This window comes from Homo sapiens, chromosome 5 (genome assembly GCF_000001405.40).
Source record: "Homo sapiens chromosome 5, GRCh38.p14 Primary Assembly".
NCBI lineage: Eukaryota > Metazoa > Chordata > Mammalia > Primates > Hominidae > Homo > Homo sapiens.
The window spans coordinates 70189531-70212518 of NC_000005.10; the positions used below are offsets into that span (position 1 = coordinate 70189531).

The following is a 22988-nucleotide window of genomic DNA, read 5'->3' on the forward strand; positions in this document are numbered from 1 at the left end:
ATAATTGTAAATGGTGAAGACATAATACAAATCCTAATATCTATGACTCTAATGCTTTAAAAAATCATTATATACACTACGCTGTCTCTGATGTGTGAATCTACCCACTTCTAATTCATTATAACAAGTATTTGTTGCCAGGTAGCATTCCGGGCTTTGGGGATACATCTTTGGAAAAGCTTACAGAAATCTCTGTCCTCAGGGAACTAATATTCTAGGGACTATACAATAAACAATAAGCAAAAATGTAACATGTATAGTGTGTTAGACTGTAGTAAGTACAATGGCAAAAAATTAAGAATGGAGAATGTCTAAGGGGACAGATTGTTTGGAATTTGAATAAAGTGGCTATGGAAAACTTCACTGGGATAATGGCATCTGACCAAAAGCATGAGGAAGATATAGAACAAACCGTATCTGTTGCATGTTTAGTAATAACCAAGAAAATACTGTACGTGAAGCTGAGTGAGAAAATTACATAGTGGAAGGAGGGAAGTCCATAGAAGAATTGGGGGCTTCATGTGGTGGAGCATCTATAAAGCATTGTGCAAGACTCTGACTTTTACAATGAATGAAACGAGAGATCAGAGTTTTACACAGAAAAAGGTAATAACCTGATACATGTTTTAAAGTGATTATACAAATTGCTCTTTTGAGGATGTACTGAAGGGTGCCTTACGCAGAATCAGAAACACCTGTTTGCTGGCCATTTCAATAACCTGGGCAATAAATGATGGTGGTTAGCACCAGGATGCTAGTGGTGAAAGTAGCAAAAATGATCAGAATTGAGCTGCATTTTGAACATACAGTTAATAAGTTCTGTGGCATGACAGAAAAATGATTCCATAATATTTCTATTGAGCAACCTTGTTGATGTGATATTCAAACTAAGTCCTAATATTAAACAATGTAGGAATTTCAATGAAAATATGACCAAAGGGAGAAAATGGCTCCCAACCTACTGTAATTAAAGTTCCCTTCTGTTGTTTTAAAATGCTACTATGGATAGAGAAAACAAGATATGGATTTGGAAGAAAATTACCCACAGTCTAATTGTCAGATTTATTGACTTAAAGATGTTACATGGCAATAAAGTTGAAAGAAAAATAAGAAGAAATTCTAAAAGCCAGCATGTTAGATTTATTCCCTCCACAAAAAGAATTGCTAATATTTATAAAGTGAGATAATATGCCAAATACTTGTACTTGGCATAATTGCATTTTCTCAACAAATCCTATATAATCAACATTGTTTTATTTGTATATGTGTGAAAAATCATGACACCTGCAGTTTAAGTTACATTTGTATGAAACAGTCAATATGTGGCAGAGCCAGAATAAAGCCCACGTTTAGATTAAAGGAATTCTCTTTCCATTGCACCCACCCGTATTGCCTGTGGAAACCCTAAACAAGCCATTTAAATTTGTTGGAATTCCGTTTTTCAACTTTTTAAAACCTCTTAAGAGTCCAGTCCTAAATCAAGTTAATGTTTAAATTCTTCACTTATGCTTAGTATGTACATTATTCCAAAATGTGAATTGGTCCCAAATATCATATTCATTCTAACAGAGGACATTAAAAGTTTAAAAGATATCTGTTATATGGCTGAACTGATTATATTTTATCGGAAAGTGAAAGGAACTGAAAGGAACTACTCAGCATATTTCTAATGAGTATACAGAGGAAAAGTACTTTGCCTCATTTAATTTTGTAAAATCTCTCTCTGGCACATAATTCACAGTCTTTTTTTGCCCACAGGAATAGTGAGGCAGATATGTATTAATTCATGTCATAATACAAGAATAGGTAGCGATAAAACACTGGCATTTTCCAAATTGCCAGTATAAAGAATTGCCAGAAGAACATGGGTATTAGCTTCAGATTCTCCAAGGGGTTAACATTTATGTTATCTGTTAAATATGAATTATGTATTAACTTCTCATATTTCATATATAAAACTTTATGCTTTGGTCCTGTTCCTCGGGATGACCTTGATGTAATCAGAAATAATAGTGTTCTTTACCAAAGACATTAATCAATAACTTTATAATACGAAGCACTATGAATATTTAATGGCTTCAGCTTGAATAATTCAAATCCCGTATTACTAGAAAATAAAGTCAGTTGAGTGACTGAGAGTTCCATATTCCACAATTCCTACTCTGCTTACTACCTATTCTATTTACTATTCTCTTTACTATTTGAGAAGGGTATGGAGTTGTGTATGTTGCAAACATCACGTAACTTTTGTTCGACTTTCTTGAACACGTCATATTATTTTTTTTAGTTCATTTTCTGAATATAAGTAATTTTTGGTGAATTAATACTTTAAACAAGAGTTCACCTGGAAAGCAGTAGGCAAAATTTCATTAAAAATATTATTTTATTAACATACCTTAAAAATGTAATAGGACAATGCCTCAAAGAACAATTTCAAAATAAAAACACAGAAAACAAATGACCAGCAAAATTGCTCTGAAGTCTTAAAAACAGAAATAAATACTTCAATAATCATAGGTAATATGGAAATCCAATGTATGACTTACCTATAGAAAACCCTTGTGGAATTTCATTTAAATCTAACGTCAATATGAGCTATGTAGGAAGTCCATTAATAAATAAGAATATTATATAGGTACACATGTATATATTAATTTTAAGCCATATGCAGCCCTATTTGAAAATGTTAAAAAAAATCATCAGGATTAGTCCATACTGATTATTAAAAAATAAAATTGTCACTGCTCATTGTAGAAGATAAATGTCAGCTGTGCAGCAGATGTGTTTATAGCCACCCAGTAATCCTATCGCCTCAATAATGCATTTCCCTTTTTTTAGTTAAAAACTTAATTACATTAAGAAACTGTATGTGTTTAGGAATATGAATATAGAAGGAGTAATCATCGTTTAGTAAAATAAGTTTTACTTGCCTATTAAAATTTACTGTGTTTGTGAAGATGCTGATAGTACATTACATATGGAGATCCAAGTGCACATAGTCACTAATTCTTTAAACTATGTTTGATATTAGTAATAATTTACTTTACATATATATCGGAATTTAATTGAAAAATAGTAAATGACTGCTAATATACATTATTCTTCTGAGTTGCATTTTTGCTTAATGAAATAGAATTTTTAAAAGAATTGTTTATCTTTATTCCTACTAGATTATACATTTCATGAGAAAAGCATTATCTCTTTATTAGTATATTTGTTTACCTGTATTAGAACTTGACTTTGAAATAAACCAGATATAATACCATTGTTGTAGATGTATTTATTGTACTAAAAATAATATTCTGCATCTGAGTTTTGAGCAAGGAGATTTTACAGTCTCCTTTCAGTTAGAAAACTACAAGACCCTCTTAACTGATGTTGGAAATGTAAGTAAAGAAGATAAAAATTAAAATGATAAAGAAAAGCATTTGGGGTATAGTAGCACTGTGCTTCCCAGGAGAATGAGTTGTTAAGTGCTCACTCCGCATTTTTCAGTAACATATACTTAAAGTAAGCACACAGGGGCTACAGACGCTATTTTTTGGTTCAACATGACCTGAGCAGTTAATTAATTGTAAAGGGAAGAAGCAAGAATAGGCTCAGGGAGGGAGACAGAGAAAGACTGGGTAGGGCGGGGAGGGAGGGAGAGTTTCACCTGTATCTAAAACAGATCAGAAGCAATTTCTTCCTCCAACTCCTCACTTGTCTATTTCTACTAATAAAGAGCAAAACCAGACAAAATAGATTATTGTGTCATTTTTGTTTTCTTATTTTGTAATACACAGAAAAACTCAAGCTGGAGACGGAAATGAACAGATGCACATGGCTGGAAAGACTCAGTGCTAATCTCTACAATGTTGTTTTAATAGAATGGAGACAGGACCACATACTTTCTTACAATAATGAGGATCAATAAAGACAAAACTGACACTTTGTAATGAATAATGATCTGAACACTCACCTGAGAAAGTATCTCTTTGTTGCAGGTTTTTGGAAATGGGCTATATTTTTTGAATCATAACCGATATGTACTGCCATAAACAAGAGGATTTCAAGCCAGCTCCATCTGGTCGAAAATTATTTTATTTATTACTAAGAGAAAAGTGTAAGACAAGTCCTGTGGTAAAAACAGATTTATTGCCTCTGCTATTCACCTGTGTTATTTCTTCATATATTACCATTGACATATATTATCCATTCTTCACAGCAATGGCTTTGCCGTGGCAAATTAAATATCTCATTGTCCTTCTCTGTCCATTTTACATTATAATGTTTCTGAGCAGACTTTTATAGCTCTCTCACAGAATTATAGCAAGTCTTTAAATAAAAACAAAATTGAAACAAAAATTTTAGACTCAACTTAAAATCCCTCTTTATTTTATAATTTGGATTTTTAAGTAAAATATGCTATATCCTATTTAACGAGAACTTTCATATGTAATGTATCAATGGAATTATCTAAAGCTCATTTGGTTTTGCATAAAAACACAATTAGAGTAAAAACATTCTAAAATAGACACTGGAATAAAAACAATGAAAGCAAAACTATTAATTTTACATTTTTCATTCAAGTATTTTGATTTTTACTATATTATATTATTATATTAGGTATCAGAGTAATCATTGATCGCTTTCAAAACCCTGCTCCTTTCTAGGTGCAATGAAGAATTTTTATTTTATTGAAAAGTTATCTTAAGATGTAAGACTTGTGAATGATAGTAAAGATTTAGTAGACCCAATGTATTCTCAGATAAATGTAAAATAAGCAAGATATGAATTAAAGGATAAATATAGAGTTTAACAGCATAGATCTTAAAATCCATTATCATAAGGTAGAAGGATGTATAATTTATCATGATTAAAATATACTAAATATTCATATCACAGCATTCTGATTTCTGATATCTACAATTTAGGTGACATATATACATATGTGTGTATATATATATAACTGTATTATTTGATATTTTAAAAGATAAAAGAGTTATATATTCAAATACCAGTATAGATGTTGCTCTGAAAGTATTGTTAGATGAGATTAACATGAAAATCAGTAATTTCTGAGAAAAGCAGATTATTTTCCAAAATATTGTAGGGCTCATCCAGTCAATTGATTATATTAAAAGACTGAGATCCCTCAAGGAAATAATTCTGCCTGCAGATTGCCTTTCGACTTGAGACTGTAACATCAACTTTTCTCTAGGTCTCTTGCTTGCTAGCCTACCCTGCCAATTTTTTATACATTAAAAAATATTTTTCTCAAATATTGTAGTTCTGCTATTTCCAGAAACGCTTGAGGATTGTACTTCCAAGTTCTTTTAAAGTTGATCATCGTCATGAAACTCATCATCAAATGGCATTTGAGCAAAATCTTTATTAATTAAACATGAGTGGAAGTTTAAAGGCCAAAGCACAACTCACTCAGGCATTGTGAACTATGTGTGCAGACAGATCACAACTCATCCTTGGTCTCTGGGTGTGTCTGCGTCTATTACTGACTTACCCTGGATATGTAAAATGAGTAAGAAAAACTTTTTGTGTTAGCCACTGGGATTTTTGGTTTGTGTATTACTTTAGCATATTATCTCATTTTGAATGCTATAGTTTAGGACACTAGTTTAAACTACTGAAGTTAAAATGTTCTCCTTATTTCAGAGGAGAGAAGGATCTTACAGTGACAGACATCCATTAGTAAGAATTAATTTCTAGAGATAAAGTGAATTCAGTAACCACAGTGTCAGTAGAGTCAGCATGGTCAAAATAGTCTACATGGGAAATGTTTGGTGGCTCTTAGTTGATCATGGAGTCTCTAGAACCAAAAGTTATGAATGCCAATTAAGTTTCGATTTGGCTTATATGATCTCAAATCTTCAGGTTTACAAAACATATCTTGAGCCACCACCCAGCTCTGTCACCCAGGCTGGAGTGCAGTGGCACCATCTCAGCTCATTGCAGCCTCCGCCTCCGAGGTTTAAGCGATTCTCATGCCTCAGCCTCCTGAGTAACTGGGACTACAGGTGCTCACCACCATACAGGGATGTTTTTTCTATTTTTTTGGAGAGACACGGTTTCACCATGTTGGCCAGGCTGCTCTCGAACTCCTTACCTCATGATCCGCCCACCTCGGCCTCCCAAAGTGCTGGGATTACAGGCGTGAGCCACGGCGCCCAGCCCATTTTTTCTTTTCACCCACCTCGGCCTCCCAAAGTGCTGGGATTACAGGCGTGAGCCACTGCACTGAGCCTACAGCTCATTTCTTAACACATAAAGCTTTGCACCTCTCCACAAAACTGCCATCAGGGATGTCCCCAGAAACCATTCATCCCAGGTGCCACGCAGAGAAGAGTTGCTTGTTCTCCTTTTCCCTTTACCTCTTCCCTCTCACCTCATCATGTTCATTCATTCATCCCTTTTCCATTCTCACTTTTAAGCTTTAACCTTTCAAAAGCCTATCTTCCCCTATAAGTAATGTATTGTAACTCCCGCCATCACCATATCCTTCTCCAACCAACCAAACTGCCATCCTGAGTTTATGGAAAGTCCATAAACTAAGAAGAAATGGGAAACATTCATTGCTAACTTGGCAGCCCCTCATCCACCCTACGTGAGAGCACAGATCTTATTGTCTTTGAAGACCCTTTCTTTTTTTTTTTTTTTTTTTTTTTTTTTGAGAAGCAGTCTCACTGTCGCCCAGGCTGGAGTGCAGTGGCACAATCTCGGCTCACTGCAAGCTCCAACTCCTGGGTTCATGCCATTCTCCTGCCTCAGCCTCCCGAGCAGCTGGGACTACAGGCACCCGCCACCACGCCCGGCTGATTTTTTTTGTATTTTCAGTAGAGACAGGGTTTCACTGTTAGCCAGGATGGTCTCGATCTCCTGACCTCGTGATCTGCCTGCCTCGGCCTCCCAAAGTGCTGGGATTACAGGCATGAGCCACCGTGCCCAGCTCCTTTTTTTTTTTTAAAGACAGGTCTCACTCTGCTGCCCAGGCTCAAGTGCAGTGGTGTAATCATGGCTTACTGCAGCCTCCAACTCCTGTGCTCAGGCTATCCGCCTGCCTCAGCCTCCCAAGCAGCTAGGACTACAGGCACACACCACCACACCTAGCTAATCTGTTTAGTTTTTGTAGAGATGGGGGTCCTGCTATGCTGAACAGGCTGGTCTCGAACTCCTGGCCTCAAGCAATCCTCCCACCTTGGCCTCCCAAAGTGCTGGGATGACAGGCATGAGCCACCATGCCTGGTCTGAAGACTTTTAAATGCTGCCATATTCAAGACGCGTTGAAACTCACCTGTATTCGATGAGCCTGCTTTTCGCAAATGAGTAACATAAAACAGACTGAAATACCTTAAGCTTCTCAGCCTTTTACCCTCCTCTGGAATAATGAGTGTATCCCAAAAGTAAATCCATAATGAGGTCCAGTTTTTCCTTCATCCTTGGCTATGAAATAGACAAGAAAAAGGCAAGCTAGCCATTTCCATCTCACTATAGCAGACTCTCATGTTTGCTTTTTGACCGTACGTGGGAAGCGGGGGCCTGACTGCTTTCCTACTTCCTAAGCACAACTTACTTTTCCTAGGAAATTCTCAACACAACCTACATGGATTAAACCAGGTTCCCCCCTTTGTTTCCAATATTCTTACAGCCAAAATGTCCAGAATGGGCAAGGCAACCTGAAAAAATGAGGACGGGTACATTATCCCATGCGCTAAACTGCCACTTACACTGGTTAGTCATGAAATCGGCAAAATTCCAGATGAGCTCTCCAACCACGTATTTTCTGCGTTTTTGATCCAGACCCAGATGGTACTGCTCTAGCAGACTTTTCCGGTCCTCTTCACTGAACATCAGAGGTGGATCCTGGGATTCAAGGCAAAGAGAATTAAGAGTAAGAACTGGCAGAATTGTAAATGTTAGATAAAAATAAAGATCCACTTGATGGTGACCAAAATATCTGTCCTCACTGGGGGCTGTAGGGACTGCAGGACTCACTGATGCTAGGGTAAAGACAGCCAGGGAGAAATTGGAAATCATCATTCTCAGTAAACTATCGCAAGAACAAAAAAACAAACACCGCATATTCTCACTCATAGGTGGGAATTGAACGATGAGATCACATAGACACAGGAAGGGGAACATCACACTCTGGGGACTGTTGTGGGGTGGGGGGAGGGGGGAGGGATAGCATTGGGAGATATACCTAATGCTAGATGACGAGTTAGTGGGTGCAGCACACCAGCATGGCACATGTATACGTATGTAACTAACCTGCACAATGTGCACATGTACGCTAAAACTTAAAGTATAATAATAATAAAAAAAAATACAAAAAAAGAAACGACAGCCAGGGAATGATGTAACCCAGAATTAAAAAGGAGGTTTAAAAAAAAACCATCAATTAGCAACTGCTTTATTTATAAATATAACCTGATACTCAATTTTTCTTACTTTTCCGTCTCTGTCTGCTGATACAGTCTTAAGGCTGAACTACACTAGAAGGAAAAATATGTCTTTAGGTCAGGCGCGCTGGCTCATGTCTGTCATCCAAGCACTTTGGGAGACCGAGGTGGGAGGACTGCTTGAGCCTAGGAGTTCAAGACTAGCCTACAAAAAGTACAAAAGTTAGCCAAGCATGGAGGCACACACCTGTGGTCCCAGCTACTTGGGAGGCTGAGGTGGGAGGACTGCTTCAGTCCCGGAGGTCAAAGCTGTGGTTTGCACCACTACACTCCAGCCTGGGTGACAGAACAAGACCCTATCTCATGAATGAATGAATGAATGTAAAATGAAATTAAACTAAACCAGGCTGGGCATGGTAGCTCAGGTCTGTAATCCCAGCACTTTGGGAGGTCGAGGCAGGAGGATCACTTGAGCTCAGGAGTTCAAGATCAGCCTAGGCAACACAGTAAAACCCAGTCTCTATAAAAAGGCTAAATATTCGCTAGGTATAGTGGCGCATGACTGTGGCTCCAGCTACTTGGGGGGCCGAGGAGGAAGGATCACTTGAGCCCAGGAGGTTGAGCAGTGAGCTGTGATTACGCCACTGCACTCCAGCCTGGGCAACAGAGTAAGGCTGTCTCAAAAAAAAATTTTTTTTAATTAAACCAGATAAATTCAGTTATCCTAGTCATATATCAAGACCTCAATAGCCACATGTAGCTAGTGGCTACCATTTCAGACAGTGCAGACATGGGGCATTTCCATCATTGCAAAGGTTCTTTTTTGAAACAAGGTCTCACTCTGTCACCCAGGTGGGAGTACAGTGGTGCAATTATGGCGGACTGCAGCCTTGACCTACTGGGCTCAAACAGTCCTCCTACCTCAGCCTCCCAAGTAGCTGGGACTAGAGGCAAGCACGACCATACCCAACTATTTTTTTTTTTTTTTTTTTTTGAGACGGACTCTTGCTCTGTCGCCCAGGCTGGAGTGCAGTGGCACAATCTCGGCTCACTGCAACCTCCACCTCCCCAGTTCAAGCGATTCTCCTGCTTTAGCCTCCTGAGTAGCTGGGATTACAGGTGCATGCCACCACACCCAGCTAATTTCTGTGTTTTCTTAGTAGAGACGGGGTTTCACCATCTTGGTCAGGCTGGACTTGAACTCTTGGCCTCGTGATCCACCCACCTCAGCCTCCCAAAGTGCTGGGATTACAGGCGTCAGCCACTGCACCCAGCCACAACTCATCTTAAATATTTTGTAGAGATGGGGTCCATGTTGTGCAGACTGGTCTCAAACTCCTGGGCTCAAGAGATCCTCTGACCTCGGTCTCCCAAAGGGCTAGCATTCCAGGTGTGAGCCAGCACACCCAGCACTGCAGAGGTTCTATCAATGCTCACCTAGACCCTCTCGAGTTTCTTAAGAATTCAGAACTGGGGCTGGGTATGGTGGCTCATGCCTGTAATTCCAGCACTTTGGGAGGCCAAGGCAGGTGGATCGCTTGAGGTCAAAAGTTCAAGACCAGCCTGACCAACGTGGTGAAACCTCATCTCTACTAAAAAAAAAAAAAAAAAAAAAAAAATTAGGTGAGCATGGTGGTGCATGCCTGTAATCCAAGCTACTTGGGAGGCTGGTGCAGGAGAATTGCTTGAACCTGGGAGGCGGAGGTAGCAGTGAGTCAAGATTGCACCACTACACTCCAGCCTGGGCGACAAGTGAAACTCCTCCTAAAAGGAGAAAGAATTCAGAGCTGGTTACCTTTTCAAAGAGAATGAACAAGGGTGCATATCCACAAATCACTTCCCCCTACTTGACTAGTTTGCAGAAGTGTCATTCTGTAAGCACGATAAATTTAAGGGTGCAAACAGAACAGTGCAGTCCATTGTGGGTGGCTGTTCCCTGTGTGTCAACGGGAGTCCCAGGAGCTGTGCAAAAGAGTGTGAGCTGGCTGGGGAGGGGACAAGGGGCTGGATGGGGTTCAGGAATCCACATGAAAAAAACCCCACAAGACAAAGCAACATATCTTTGGTGAGAAGGACAAAAAATGAGATGGATAAACAAATGAGGACAGGCCAGGCATGGTGGCTCAGGCCTGTAATCCCAGGATTTTGGGACGCGGAAGCAGGCAAATCACTTGACGTCAGGAGCTCAAGACCAGCCTGGCCAACATGGCAAAACCCCACCTCTACAAAAATACAAAAATTAGCTGGGCATGGTGGCAGGTGCCTGTAATCCCAGCTGCTTGGGAGGTTGAGGCAGGACAATCGCTTGAGCCTAGGAAGTGGAGGTTGCAGTGAGCTGAGATCACACCATTGCACTTCAGCCTGGGTGACAGAGTGAGACTCCATCTCAAAAAAAAAAAAAAGACAAAGTGAGTGATTAAACATGGCTCTAAGATCTCACCCATGCCCTCAATAGGTATTATTTAGCATGTACTGTGTCAGCTATTGCAGAGTACCTGGGAAACAACAATAAATAGGACTCCTGTCTCCTGAGCCCACAGTCCGATCAAAGAGAGAGCCAAAGAAATAACAACGGTGCCTGGCGAGAATGTTGGGGGAGCCAGGTTCCGGCTGCAACAGGGCAGAGCACGGGGAAGGTTCCCTCCGCCTGGGGCAGGCAGGGTAAACCTCCCCACAGAGGGGACAGCTATGAGGAGACTCAGATGCCAAATAGGAATCTTTTCAGCCACGTGTCGTGACTCATGCCTGTATTCCCAGTACTTTGGGAGTCCAAGACAGGAGGTGAAGACCAGCCTGATAGCGAGACTGCATCTCTACAAAATATTTTAAAACTAGGCTGCACATGGTGGTGCACGCCTGTAGTCCCAGCTACTCAGGAGGCTGAGGCAGGGGAATTGCTTCAGCCCAGGAGTTCGAGGCTGCAGTGAGCTATGATGACACCACCACACTCCAGCCTGGGCAACAGAACAAGACCCTGTCAGGAAAAAAATAAAAAATAAAAAAAGGCTAGCACAGTGGATCACACCTGTTAATCCCAGAACTTTGGGAGGCCAAGGCAAAAAGATCAATTGAGTCCAGGAGTTTGAGACCAGCCTGGGCAACATAGCAAGACCCTATCTCTAAAAAAATAAAAAGAAAAGGATCTTTTAGTTGGTGATTATGGTGTCAACTTGGGCATTCCAGGCAGAAAGAATAGCTCAAGCAAGAGCAGGAGAGCAAATGAGGGCAGTGGAAACAGATCAGTGGCCAGGAGTGAGAAGAGAAGAGGATGAAAACCCAGGAGAGAGCAGAGGACACTGAGTGTCCTGACTAGGGGTTAGGACTTTGTCCTATGGGCCTGGGGGAGCCAATGACAGGACTCAAAAATTTTGATTTGTGGCCGGGCACAGTGGCTCACACCTGTAAATCCCAGCGCTTTGTGAGCCTGAGGCAGGAGGGTCACTTGATCCCAGGAATTCAAGACCAGCCCGGGGAACACAACAAGGCCCCATCTCTACAAAAGTAAAAAAATTAGCCAGGCATGGTGGCCTGTGCCTATGGTCCCAGATACTCAGGAGGCTGAGGTGGGAAGATCGCTTGGGCCCAGGAGGTTAAGGCTGCAGGGAGCAGTGATCGCACCACCGCACTCCAGCTTGGGTGACAGAGAGAGAGGCGGTCTCAAAAACACATAAAAATTTGGATTTCTTAGAAAGACCACTTGGGCACGGGTGATAGGAGGCTGTCTGGAAACAAGGCCAGTAAGGAGTCCACCTTTGAGGACCAAGCGAGTGGGGCAGAGGCCTGGCTGCTGGTGAGAAGGGAACGTGGACAGGGTAGCGGGAGGTGAGCCCAAAGCTGAAGCAAGGGGAGCACTGCAGTGGGCGCAGGGCAGGGTGGGGGAGGCAAGTGGCATCTCTGCCCAGAGAGAATACACAAGCAGAAAGTTCAACACCGCTTACCTGGTGAAGCCCTACAAGCGTTTCCACTCCATACGCGCTCTGAATAATGGGATTGTGATGTCTTACACCAATTCTCAAACTGGGCGGCCAGCTGCAGCTGAATCAACTCCAGGTGCCCGTAGTTGCGATACCAAGAGTAGTAGCTGTTCACACGGATCACATCCACATACAGAGCCTAGGACCAGAGCAGCAGAGCCCGTTCAGCAACCACAAGACCGCATGACTCAGTACTCACATGCTGTGGGGGCTCCTCTGACAGAGAAGGTAAGAAGGGGATGTAATCCCAGCACTCTGGGAGGCTGAGGCAGGAGGGTGGCTTGTGGCCAGGAGTTCGAGACCAGCCTGGGCAACACAGCAAGACCCCAGCTCTACAAAAAATAGTATCAAGAAAATCAGCACGGCACAGTGGCTCATGCCTGTAATCCCAGCACATTGGGAGGCCAAGGTGGGAGGATCACTTGAGCCCAGGAGTTTGAGACCAGCCTGGGCAACGTCGTAGGACTCCATTTCTACAAAACAAAACAAAAAGCCTAGAACGGGAAGAGCTGCCTCTCGGGGCTGAGAACATCCAACTGCACCAATTTAGATCCTGAAATTACCCTGCCCCACAAGCAAAAAACATGGTCACAAAGTGGCCCAAAGGAGGCAGGCCTGTGATTGCACACTGACGCTCACGACGTGTGCAGCTGGGAAGGGCTGTGAGAGGCAGAGCAGCTGCCAACACGCAGTCCTCAGCCAAAACCCAGGGCCCCCGCCACTGGAACTGACTCCTCTCCAGGCAGCACTCCCAGCACTGGGCATCCCCTCACCTTGCCCTGGAGAAGCCCTCCCACCCAAGGGGCCAATGCAGTCATTCTCGCAGATAATCTTTTTCCGCTTTGTTTGGAAGACAGAGTCTCGCTCTGTTGCCCAGGCTAGAATGGAGTGGCACAATAATGCAAGCTCTGCCTCCCACGATCAAGCGCAGGCGTGGTGGCATGTGCCTGTTATCCCAGCTACTTGGGAGGCTGAGGCAGGAGAATTGCTTGAACCTGGGAGGCGGAGGTTGCACTGAGCTGAGACTGTGCCACTGCACTCCAGCCTGGGCAACAGAGCAAGACTCTATCTTAAAAAAATAATAAAAAATAAAAAAGAATGCTAGTATCAGCCAGGCACGGTGGCTCATGCCTGTAATCCCAGCACTTTAGGAGGCTAAGGCAGGAGGATCACTTGAGCTCAAGAGTTTGAGACTGGCCTGGGCAACATAGTGAGATCCCATCTCTACAAAAACATTTAAAATTAGCCGGGCACAGTGGTGTACCCCCGGAGTCCCAGCTACTTGGAAGGCTGAGGCAAGAGGGTTGCTTAGGCCCAGGAATTCAAGGCTGCAGTGAGCTGTGATCACACCACTGCACTCCAGCCAGAGCAACAGAGTAAGACCTTGCCTTCACACACACACACAAAAAAACAAAAAACTCAGGTTCCAACCCTGGAGTTACTAAATCAGGATCTCAGAACGCAGAGATCTGGCATTTCAATAAAACTTCCCCTGGAGATTCTGATCAGCCAGGTTTGGGCCAGATCAACTCTAAGCTCACTTAAACCTTTGACATTTTATGAGTCTATTAAATCGAGTACAAAAAATGCTGAGTCCAAACCGGGCAAACAAATCCCATCTCCCTATGCCCAGCCTCCTTGGATTCAGAAAGCCACACTGCCTGGAGAGTAAGCAGAGAGAGAATTGTCATTAACCCAAAGACCATCTTTGAAAACAGACTGGCTGCGGCTGAGTGCGGTGGCACACGCCTGTAACCCCAGCCCTTTGGAAGGCCGAGGCAGGAGGATCACTTGAGCCCAGGAGTTCGAGACCAGCCTGGGCAACATGGCAAGACCCTGTCTCTATCTTTCTAAGTAAAACAAAATAAAAAGCTCAGACTGGCAGCACATGGTTCTTTCCAGCTGTTCCCATGAGCAGGCTTCAGGACAAGCCCAGGCAAAGGCAGGGAGAAATGGGGTGGGGACCCCCAGGCTCACCCCCTTGTCTGCTGCGTAGGTGGAGTTGGTCACAAAGGTCACAGGCTGGGAGGGGTCCAAGGCTTTGGTGTGAGCAATCACCATCCTGTCCACAAAAGAGAGAAGACACAGGTTCCGTCAGTCCGGGAAAGGCTCAGACACCCTCCCATCCTCTCTGTCCCATCTTCCCCTGCCAGAACACAACTGGGGGCCAGGCACGATGGCTCACGCCTGTAATCCCAGCACTTCAGGAGGCTGAGGCAGGCAGATCACTGAGGTCAGGGGTTCAAGAACAGCCTGGCCAACATGGCAAAACCCCATTTCTACTAAATATACAAAAATTAGCCAGGCTTAGTGGCACGCATCTGTAACTCCAGCTACTCGGGAGGCTGAGGCACAAGAATTGCTTGAACCCGGGAGGTGGAGGTTGCAGTGAGCCGAAATCACGCTACTGCACTCCAGCCTGGGCCACAGAGCAAGACCCTGCCCCAAAACAAACAAACAAACAAACAAACAAAAAAAAAAAAAAGAAAGAAAGAAAAGAAAAAAAAAAAAAAAAACAAAGCACAGAGCCGCTGCTTTCTTCCCTAACTTGAGATGTATTTTACATAAGGGCACGTTCCTCTAGTCCTAGACCGAGCTCTCTAACAACACTCTTTCTCCCCCACCCCTGAATCCAACTCCCCCAGAGGCGTAGCCACCCTGCCGGGTACACAGAGCTGAGGTCACTGGACTGAACACTGCCAGAAATGAGGTTCACTTCCTGAAATAGCTCTTGAACACAGGAGTGAATGGGCTGTGGATTCAGGTGGAATATTTATTAATGCATCAAGCAAACAGGTAGTGCGAGGTGGGAGGTAGGCATGAGGCTGGGTGCTAGGTGCTCAGTAATGACTCAAATCTAAGTCCACAGGTCCTGGGCAGTGGGAGTGGAGATGCATGCACAGAAAAACGGTGCAAGTGCCAGGCGAGGTGGCTCAAGCCTAGAACCCCAGCACTTTGGGAGGCTTACTTGAGACCAGGCGCTTGAGACCAGCCTGGACAACATAGCAAGACCTTGTTTCTACAACAAATTTAAAAATTAGGGCCGGGCATGGTGGCTCAAGCCTGTGAGCACTTTGGGAGGCCAAGGCAGGTGGATCACGAGCTCAAGAGTTCGAGACCAGCCTGGCCAACATGGTGAAACCCCATCTCAACAAAAAATAAAGAAGAAAACTAGCTGGGCATGGTGGCGTGAGCCTGTAATCCCAGCTACTCGGGAGGGTGAGGCAGGAGAACTGTTTGTACCCAGGAGGTAGAGGACGCAGTGAGCCAAGACCGCAACACTGCTCTCCAGCCTGGGAGACAGAGCAAGACTCTGACTCGTGGGGAAAAAAAAATATTAAAATTTAGCCTGGCAAGGCAGCGCACGTCTGTGGTCCCAGCTATTTGGGAGGCTGAGTGGGGAGGATCGCTTAAGCCCAGGAGGTCGAGATGGCAACGAGCTATGATTGCACCACTGCACTCCAGCCTGGGCAACAGAGTGAGACCCTGACTCTGAAAAACAAACAATGAAAGAAATGTTGCGAATGGAAATGACAAGTGGTGGCAGGAATTGGGCACTCTATGAGACAACAGACACATCCCCGATTGGAGAGTCAGGGACAGGCTCTTAGAAGAAATGGCCTTTATGCTGAGTCAAGTTAACCAGGAGGGATGAAGGGAAGAGGCTCCCAACAGAGGGACCAGTCCGTGCTCAGAGCTCCCAGCATCTGCCCAAGGCCTCCACAGAACAGACTGTTGTGTTTTTGTTTTGTTTTGTTTTGTTGAGATACAGAGTCTCATTCTGTAGCCCAGGCTGGAATGCAGTGGCATTATCTCAGCTCATTGCAATCTCTGCCTCCTGGTTCACCTGAGGCGATTCTCCTGCCTCAGCCTACCTGGTAGCTGGCATTACAGACGTCCACCACCATGCCCAGCTAATTTTTGTATTTTTAGTAGAGACAGGATTCACTACCTGTTGACCAGGCTGGTCTCGAACTCCTGACCTCGGGTGATCCACCCACCTCAGCCTCCCAAACTGCTGGGATTACAGGCGTGACCCACCGCATCCGGCCTAGACCGTTGTTGAAGCTGGTTTTCTTCTTCTTTCCTCAGTTCTTTTCTTTTACATCTTCCCCCCATCATTGCTCTGCCCATCCGAAGGCTGTGGCTGGCACAGGACAGAATAGAACCTCCTAGCCTCAAGTTCCAAACCCACACTCTCCAATAGCCAGGCTCTCAGATGGGAAGCTTCAAAGCCTTGTGACAGCCTGGCTGAACCTCTCCAGCCTGGGCCCTCCCTCCATTTCCTGCCCCGGAAACAGGCATCTCCTCTGGCCACCTCCCAAAGCCTGTCTGGAAGCCTCAGGCACCCGCTCCTGGAAGCCTGTACGATTCACAACAAACGGCCTGTCCACCCAGTCGTGCTGAGCACACCCCTATTCCCCCGAGCTCTGAACTGTCCTTTGCCCAGGCTAGGACAACATCTCAGAGCCTTCTGCCTGCTGCAGACTCGGCTCAGCCCAAATCACTCCATGAAATTGGGGTGTGGCATCTGCCTCAAGGAGCATTTCTACAACCTCTGCTGCCTCTACCGCAAATGAAACTGGCTCTCACCCACTGGCTCTCGGTGACGGGCACAGTGCGGAGCCCCACAGGGAGTGTGTAGAAGTCAAAGGCCCCAGTGACTTCTGTGCAGTCAGCCGCACCTACGACAGCCAAAGCGCCAGGTGTGAGCGCCCCGACAGCCTGAGCCCCATCTGGCCTGCCCTACAGCAGGAAGACCCCTCGTGCATGCACCCCAGAAGTCGCCACTGGGCCTGCAGAGAAGCAGCAACCAGAGGCTCTGCCCTTCACTGGCTGACCCTGGGACCTGCCCTTCAAAATCAGGCCTTCTCCTTGACCAGACGAGGTGGCTCATGCCTGGAATCCCTACACTTTGGGAGGCTAAGGCAGGAGGATCACCTGAGTCCAGGAGTTCAAGACCAGCCTGGGCAACCTAGTAAGACCCCAACTCTATAAAAAGGAGTTTTTTTTTTTTTGAGACAGTCTCACTCTGTCACCCAGGATAGAGTGCTGCGGCATGATCTCAATTCACCGCAGCCCCTGCCTCCTGGGTTCAAGCAATTCCCCTGCCTCAGCCTCCCGAGTAGCTGGGATTACAGACGTGCACCATCATGCCCTGCAAATTTTCATATTTTAGTAGAGACGGGGTTTCACCATGTTGGCCAGGCTGGTCTCCAACTCCTGGCCTAAAGTGATCCGCCCGCGTCAGCCTCCCGAAGTGCTGGGATTACAGGTGTGAGCCACCATGCCCGGCCTACAAAAAAAATTTTTTTAATTAGCCAGGCATGGTGGCATGTGCCTGTAGTCCCAGCTACTCAGGAGGCCAAGGTAGGAGGATTGCAGCTCAAAGCTGCAGTGAGCTGTGATCAGGCCATTGCATTCCAGCCTGGGTGACAGAGTGAGACCATCACAAAAACAAATAAATAAATAAATAAATAAATAAATAAATAAATAAATAAATAAAAAATCTGGGCCTCCCACCAAGGGTGGGAAACATCAGAAAGCTCAGAGGACCACACCTGCCCGTTCACCTGTCCTGGGCTCCTGCTGAAGCCAGGGCTACCAGATGGGGGCAAAAGACCTCCCTTACGCAAGTCCCAAACCACCATTACCTCCCACGAGTACAGGTAGGCGGGGTGTTCGTGCATCAGGTACGGCCACCAGAGGTTGGCACCCAGCACCTTCAGCTGGCCCTGGGTCCCAGCCTGGTTGTCCACGACTTTGTTTTCTGCATTCAAAAGACACACTTCCAACTTGAACTGGTTACTGCACTTGACGGAGATCTGGTAATTCACCAGCCCTGCAGGAGGCAAGAGAGACCAGGGCTTAGGGAGGGACATGACCTGGGTCACACAAACGGGAAGGCCCCACAATGACCACTCCCAGGCACTCTCATTTGCTTCTGTTGCTTTTTTTTTTTTTTTTTTTTTTTTTGAGATAGAATCTCGCTCTGTCACCCAGGCTGGAGTGCAGTGGCATGATCTGGACTCACTGAAACCTCTGCCTCCCAGGTTCAAGTGATTCTCCTGCCTCAGCCTCTGGAATAGCTGGGATTACAGGCACCTGCCACCACATCCAGCTAATTTTTGTATTGTTAGTAGAGACGGGGTTTCACCACATTAGCCAGGATGGTCTTGATCTCCTGACCTCGTGATCCGCCTGCCTCGGCCTCCCAAAGTGCTGGGATTACAGGCTTGAGCCACCGTGCCCGGCCCTGAACCAATGCGCCCAGCCCGCTTTTAATTTAATTTTTTAATTTTTTTTTTTTTTTTTTTTTTTTTTTTTTTTTTTTTTGAGATGGAGTCTCACTGTCACCCAGGCTGGAGTGTAGTGCTGCGATCCTGACTCGCTGCAACCTCCACCTCTGGAGTTCAGGTGATTCTCCTGCCTCAGCCTTCCGAGTACCTGGGAATACAGGAATGCACCACCATGCCCGGCGAATTTTTCTATTTTCAGTAGAGACGGAGTTTTGCCATGTTGGCCAGGCTGGTCTCGAACTCCTGAACTCAGGTGATCCACCCGCCTCAGTCTCCCAATAGATTACATATATTATTAATGAATTGCTTCCTTTAACACCCTATTCATTGAATTTTCCAGTAAACCACAATTACTAATTACTCCTGAAATCAGAAAAGAGGTTAAAAAGATTTTATAACAGTATCCTATGAAATCTACTACTTTCAAGTAATAGTAGTTGAATTACCAAAACCCGTCACTCAAGCCAATGACTACAATTAAGATATGAGTAACATTTCCTAGATAAATAAAGTCAATTAATTATATTTGCATCTGGGAAATAGAGAAAGTACATATAAGCCATGATTTTGAAGTCAAAAGAGAGAGAATATTTGCCAAGGAGGGGTGAGTTATAGTATGTAATTATAACATACAGAAGTTTTTTGTATGCTGGTAACTAATTTTAATTTCCTACATTTTTATGTAGATTTCTGCTATTCTTGTCCTATTTTCCTAATCATCTTTCTATATGAATGACTACATAATTCTGAGAATACCAAAAGAGACAGACACAGAACCAATCGGATTCCTTTCTTCTTGAAGCTTCTGCACAGCAAAAGAAACTATCAACAGAGTGAACAGACAACCTACAGAATGGGAGAAAATTTTTGCAACAATGCATGTGACAAAGATCTAATGTCCAACACTGATAAGGAACTTAAACAAATTTACAAGAAAAAAAAAAAATCTCATTGGAAAGTGGGCACAGGACATAAACAGACACTTCAAAAGAAGACACACATGCGGCCAACAAGCATATGAGAAAAAGCTCAATATCACTGATCATTAGAGAAATGCAAATCAAAACCACAATGGCATACCATCTCACACCAGTCAGTATGGTTATTATTAAGAAGTCAACGCCGGGCATGGTGGCTCACGCCTATAATCCCAGCACTTCAGGAGGCCAAGGCAGGCAGATCGCATGAGGTCAGGAGTTCCAGACCAGCCTGGACAACCTGGCGAAACCCCGTCTCTACTAAAAATACAAAAATTAGCCCAGCGTGGTGGCGGGTGCCTGTAATCCCAGCTACTCAGGATGCTGAGGCAGGAGAATCGCCTGAACCCGGGAGGCAGAGGTTGTAGTGAGCCGAGATCATACCACTGCACTCTCCAGCTTAGGTGACAGAGCGAGACTCTGTCTCAAAAAAAAAAAAAAAAATATTTGAATTTTGTTTAAATCGCTAACACATACTGGGCATTTAATAACAAAAAAAAAGGACATGAGATTGTGATCCTTATGAAGGTTTGAGAGGCATTTCACTAGGGTTCAACATACAGCAGTCTGAAACATACTGTAATAATTTAATCCAATGGCTCATCTACAGCACCTAAAAAGATTACAGCAGATTCTCATTATTCAGTGTAGTTACGGTCTAGAAAGTTCCATGAACAAATAAAAAGTTAGGTTTCAGCAAGCTACTGGTCACACTTTTGTAAGCTTACCAACACCTACTTTTGTTGTATGTGTGCTTATTTAATATATATTGTTGGCCAGGCACAGTGGCTAACGCCTGTAATCCCAGCACTTTGGGAAGCCAAGGCGGGCAGATCATTTGAGGTCTGGAGTTCGAGACCAGCCTGGCCAACGTGGTGAAACCCCGTCTCTACTAAAACTACAAAAAAAAAAAAAAAAAATTAGCCAGGCATGGTGGCGCATGCCTGTAGTCTTAGCTACTTGGGAGGCGAAGGCAGGGGAATCGCTTGAACCCAGGAGGCAGAGGTTGCAGTGAGCCAAGACTGCACCACTGCACTCCAGCCTGAGCAACAGAGTGAGACTCTATCTCAAAAAAAATAATAATAATAATTAATTAAATGAAGAATAAATAAATAATATACATTGTTCATTCATTAACATTGAACTCACAGCCAACGGCACTACAGCACTCACGCCTGAATGGAGTTTATTTAATGCATGTATTTTCTCTGTAAGACACATCACAGACTTCTTGGACTTGTGAATGCTAAGCAGCACTTCAGCACTATGCTTGGGGGTTAATTTAAATGGCAAAACAACCAACAAACAGTACAAAAACAGGAAAAGCATGGCATTAAATAGACCACAAAAAGGATACCTGACTATTGTATGAGAGCTGAAAAAGAAGGCAGAATATCATCCTGTTCAAACTCAAATTCTTTGACACTCTGCGCAAACACATGACTATGAAAGTGCTGTGAGTACTGATTTGGGGGTTACAAAAAATAGTAGGTGAGTTCACAAATACAAAAGCTGAAAACAAGGAGGATCGACTGTATTTTCGTAGACAATCTAATCTCAGAAGATTTCAGTTCAGACAAAAATCATGATAATTACTGTATTACAAAAGGGCACTAGATAGGGGGGAAAGAGTAAAAATCACAATTAAAACAAAGGTTCAAAATTCTGCAGCAACCATATCCAGTTACACTTTAATATGTTTGCGGCAGACTACATTATTGTTCCCAACTCATCACCCCTCCCTATATCTAAAACCTTTCCCCAAGACAATGCAGTTCCTCCTGCTAGAGATCAGGTATATTTATCTATACTATCAATGTTAGCCATGGACAAGGTATGTGCTTTGGCTGACTGAATGTTAGTGGACATGAGAGAAGCAATGGCTTAAAATGTACTTCCAGAACTGGAGTTTCCTTGTGATTCTATCACTGTGACAGAAACACATTCTCAGGTAGTCCACTGATCCAAGGGGGAACAAACACACAGAAAACATACCTAGACTCTATCTGCAGCTTGCAGCCTCACCAAGCCAACAACAGTCAACTCACAGATATGTTAGCAAAAATAAATGTTTTTCGTACCTTAAGTTTTATATAATTATTGACCTGCAGTTAACTGATATACAATATACATTAATCTTAAAATATCAGTATCCCATTAAAAATATTTACATTAAAAACTGAGACCACTTTCTTTCCTCCTTTTTTTTTTTTTTTTTTTTTTAAATTAAGAGACAGGGTGTCTCAATGTTGCCCAAGCTGGAGTTCAGTGGCTAGTGGCTATTCACAAGAACGATCATCGCACACTACCTCAAACTCCTGGGATCAAGCAATCCTCCTGCCTCAGCTTTCCAAGTCGCTGGGACTATAAGTGTGTACCACAGCATGTCAGCTCTCTCTCTCCTTCTTGACCTAAAGCCTAGCATAAAATTAGCTAAGTAGAATGTTTCCAAAGATGCCTGCATCAGTATCTCCCATCCCACATAATTTCTGTTTGATTTTGCCATTCACCCATAAAATGGTGGGATCTACCTCCCCTCCTTGCAAATTTGAGCTGGCCCTCTGATCCTGTCTAAGATCTGAAGCCAGATATTAAGGTACTTCATTAATTTCCATGTTTGTCCTCTATGCAACCTAGCAATCAAGCAAGAAGTCAAAACATACTGACATAGTTTGGATGGGTCCCCACCCAAATCTCACCTTGCATTGTAATAATTCCCACGTGTCAAGGGTGGGGCCGGGTGCAGATAACTGAATCATGGGGATGGTTCCCCCCATACTGTTCTCGCGGTAGTGACTAAGTCTCATGAGATCTGATGGTTTTATAAATGGGAGCTCCCCTGCACATGCTCTCTCCTGCCTGCCACTATGTGAGACATGCTTTTGCACCTCCTTGCCTTCCACCATGACTGTGAGGCCTCCCCAGCCATGCAGAACTGTGAGTCAATTCAACCTCTTTCCTTTATAAATTACCCAGTCTCAGGTATGTCTTTATTTGCAGTGTGAGAACAGACTAATACAATAAGTTGATACCAGTAGAGTGGGGTGCTGCTGTAAAGATACCCGAAAATGTGGAAGCAACTTTGGAAATGGGTAACAGGGAGAGGCTGGAACAGTTTGGAAGGCTCAGAAGAGGATAGGAAAATGTGGGAAAGTTTGGAACTTCCTAGAGACTTGTTGAATGGCTTTGACCAAAATGTTAATAGTGATATGGACAACAAGGTCCAGGCGGAGGTGGTCTCAGAGGCAGATGAGGAATTTGTTGGGAAATGGAGTAAAGTCACTCTTACTATGCAAAGACACTGCAGGCATTGTGCACCTGTATTAGAAACGGGCATAA

At 43.8% G+C, this 22988-nt stretch overlaps 1 pseudogene across 2 annotated transcripts in view; it reads right to left on the reverse strand.

Annotated features, from left to right (window-relative positions):
• The window catches only part of GUSBP14 (GUSB pseudogene 14), a 162716-nt pseudogene that overhangs the window by 62069 nt on the left and 77659 nt on the right, over positions 1-22988 (reverse strand). The window contains exons 7-8 of one of the 2 annotated variants that reach the window (NR_029426.1): positions 7725-7860; positions 7348-7440 (exon numbers count right to left, since the gene is read on the reverse strand). The product of NR_029426.1 is annotated as a GUSB pseudogene 14, transcript variant 1 (transcript). The remainder of the gene's footprint in view (positions 1-7347; positions 7441-7724; positions 7861-22988) is intronic. The other variant, NR_024054.2, reaches the window with a different exon arrangement.